Source organism: Homo sapiens, chromosome 14, assembly GCF_000001405.40.
Source record: "Homo sapiens chromosome 14, GRCh38.p14 Primary Assembly".
In the NCBI taxonomy this organism is placed as follows: domain Eukaryota; kingdom Metazoa; phylum Chordata; class Mammalia; order Primates; family Hominidae; genus Homo; species Homo sapiens.
Genome location: NC_000014.9, coordinates 69,841,820 through 69,844,557, shown reverse-complemented (window position 1 = coordinate 69,844,557; position 2,738 = coordinate 69,841,820). Strand labels below are relative to the sequence as shown.

General features: G+C 51.6%; 2 annotated features.

Annotated features, from left to right (window-relative positions):
• Positions 972-1,544: an enhancer, noted in NCBI's record as "H3K4me1 hESC enhancer chr14:70309731-70310303 (GRCh37/hg19 assembly coordinates)". NCBI's record gives its function as "activates a minimal SCP1, AML or CMV promoter by ChIP-STARR-seq in primed H9 embryonic stem cells {active_cell/tissue: H9 hESC(primed)}" and the evidence as "EXISTENCE:reporter gene assay evidence [ECO:0000049][PMID:30033119]".
• Positions 1,545-2,119: an enhancer, noted in NCBI's record as "H3K4me1 hESC enhancer chr14:70309156-70309730 (GRCh37/hg19 assembly coordinates)". NCBI's record gives its function as "activates a minimal SCP1, AML or CMV promoter by ChIP-STARR-seq in primed H9 embryonic stem cells {active_cell/tissue: H9 hESC(primed)}" and the evidence as "EXISTENCE:reporter gene assay evidence [ECO:0000049][PMID:30033119]".

Sequence of the window (2,738 nt, the reverse complement as noted above, 5' to 3'; positions counted from 1 at the left end):
AGAGACTGAACTGGGATCTGAAGAAAACACAGATTCAAGGTAGTGGGTTCAGTTTGCATCTGGATGTTATTTTTTCTTGGCTTATGCATGAGATTTTCTAGTGCCAACTTGACTTTTTCCTCTTCTGAGCCAGTTCACACTGCCTGCTCCCAGGGCTGAGCCCCCATGGGTGTTCAGGATGAGCTTGGCATTGCCAGGTGGGAGCACTCCCTGCAGGGACACGCAGCCTGGCCCAGGGCTCTTGGCCGACAGTAGATGTGGGGACCCAGTATCCTGACCCTCTTTCAGGAAATCTCCATAGGACTTTTTTTTTTTTTTGGCTCTCAGTTCTTCAGCATTACAGCCTTGAGTCCACAGTAATCATCAGAAAGAAAGCCATTCCAAATCCAACCCATTATCCTCTACTATGAAACTACTCCTCCATCTGTGTTCCCCACTGGGCACACAGACATTGCTGCCACCATCAAGTAGGTTGCTCAGACCAGAACCTTGTGCCTGCATACCCCAGAGCCAACCAGTCCTGAAGTCCTGCAAATTCATCTCCTTGATGGTTCTCAAATGTGCCTTCTCTTCCCCAGCTCCACTGCTGGTCACAGGTCAGACTCTCCTCACCTGGTTTGTTGCAACTCCTTCAAACCCCTCTACCTCCCAGGCCTTGCTCCATACCTCAGCCATCACCCTGTGGCCGGTATTATCCTTCTGAAACCCTATGATGATCACCTACCTAAAACAGTCCATGGGCTCCCACTGCCTGCAGGATAAAGCCTGAACTCCTAGGACTCCCGAGGGCCCAGCTCATTCTAGGGATCGTGGGAAAGGGAAGAGAAAAGGGGGGCATTGCCCTTGTCCTCAGAAAGTCACAACAGGAGTGAAAAGACAAGAGAAATATAGGAAACAGCTTTGGAAAGCCGCTTTGAGATTCTCAGATGAAAGATCTTCAGATATCTAGGCTTTTCTGGACTTGTCTCAGCACTCTTCCAATTCCTCACCACCCCCATCACCCTGCCCTGACACCTCTCCCACTCAGATCTGGCTGGGGACCCCAGGCTGGTTCAACATTGCCTGGCCTTCCCCAGGCACATCTTGGGGCTCTGTTGGGAGAGAGAAGACAAGGGCTCTGGAGCATCTCTCAGTTTCCCTATGACCTGGCTTTGCCCAGGTGGATGGCAAGCCCAAGCGCAGTCCCGAGCTGCACAGGTCTGACCGCCTTCATTGTTATTAAAAATCCAGCCTTCCTTTCCAGAGAGTCTGTGGCTTGGCTAGGGGCTAGGCCGCAGGCAGGCAGTCCGCAACACCCACACACACCCTACAGTTCATCTCCCAGGCCTCTGCCCTTCCAGTCCCTGCCCCTCTTCCACTCTGCTCTCGGCCACTTGCTCTATGCCAAGCTCCAACACCCTCAACGGTTTCCCAACTGTTTCCACTAATCCTGTTCTGGGGAGCAGGTCAGCAGTGGAGGAGCTGCAGCTCGTGTGAAAACAGCCCAGGCTGGCCCCAGCACTCACACCTGCACACTCCATTCATCCCCACTGTTTACACATTGTCATCCGCAATTAATGCTTTCCCAGGAACTGCAGCAGGCTGATTGCCCCACCGCCGCACAGGGACCCCATTCTGAGCCCTTGTGTCTGTTAAATTGAGCATGGGGCCCTGTGATTAAATTAAGGTTTGTGGCTCTGGCACTCTGCTTACACTCCATCCCACTCTGCCTTGCTTGTACCGCCACTGCCACCTCCTCCACCTCCTCCTCCTCCTCCTCCTCCTCCTCCTCCTCCTCCTTCTCCTTCTCCTCCCCACCTTCCGCTTTCCCCTCCCATTCATCACTGGGCCTCTTTGCAGCTTGATGGGGGGAGGTGGGCAAGGGGGAAATGGCCTGGCCTCTGGACAGGGAGGAAGAGTAGCTGTCTTCCATTTAAAACAAGGATGAAAGGGGATGCATGACCCCTTGGTGAGAGGGGCTCTGGAGGGAGGGGACAGTGCTGGAACTAGAACAAAGAGGGTGGTGTGGGGCCTTTGCTAAATTCATTAATCAGCCCCTAGAACCAGCACAGCAGAGTGGTTAAGGGTACAGGCTCTGAGGTAAGGCAGCCCTACGTTTGATTCCTGGCTCTGCCACTTTCTGACTCTGGGATCTTACTCAAGAATAACCACCCTGAGTCTTGGTTTCTCTGAGCCGGACAGAGGGATCAGAACAAGCAAGGAAACAGAGGCAGCAAAGGGAGAGGCATTTTTAGACGAAGGGAAGCAGATCAGAAGGGCTAGACATTAATCTTTCTCGGGTGATACTTGGGTTTGATAGTCTGGTGACCATGGAGATCCATGAAGGTCACATTGTCTGGAGACAGAGTAGAGGTAGGGGTAGAAAGGATTTAGGTACCAGCTACAGGGCTTGGAGCCAGGGTTTGCAAACATCACTATACATCAGGACCTACTAGGGAGCACATTCAAAAATACAGACTCCCATTTTCTGTTTTCTGATTTCACAGGTCTTGGGTTACCCCTGGAATCTGCAGTTTAACAAGCATCACAAGTGATTCTCATGCACAGGGCTAAAGAAGCCACGTGGAGAAGCGTAGCCAGGTGTTGAAAGACCATTCTAGGATTTTCACAGTGGAAGATTATTAGATTTGCCTTCTAGAAAGAAAATTAGGGACAGTTGAATTAGGGAGTGGGAGAAACCGGAGGCAAACAGAACAATTAGGAATCTAATGCTACAGTTCAGATGCCAGATGGCAAGG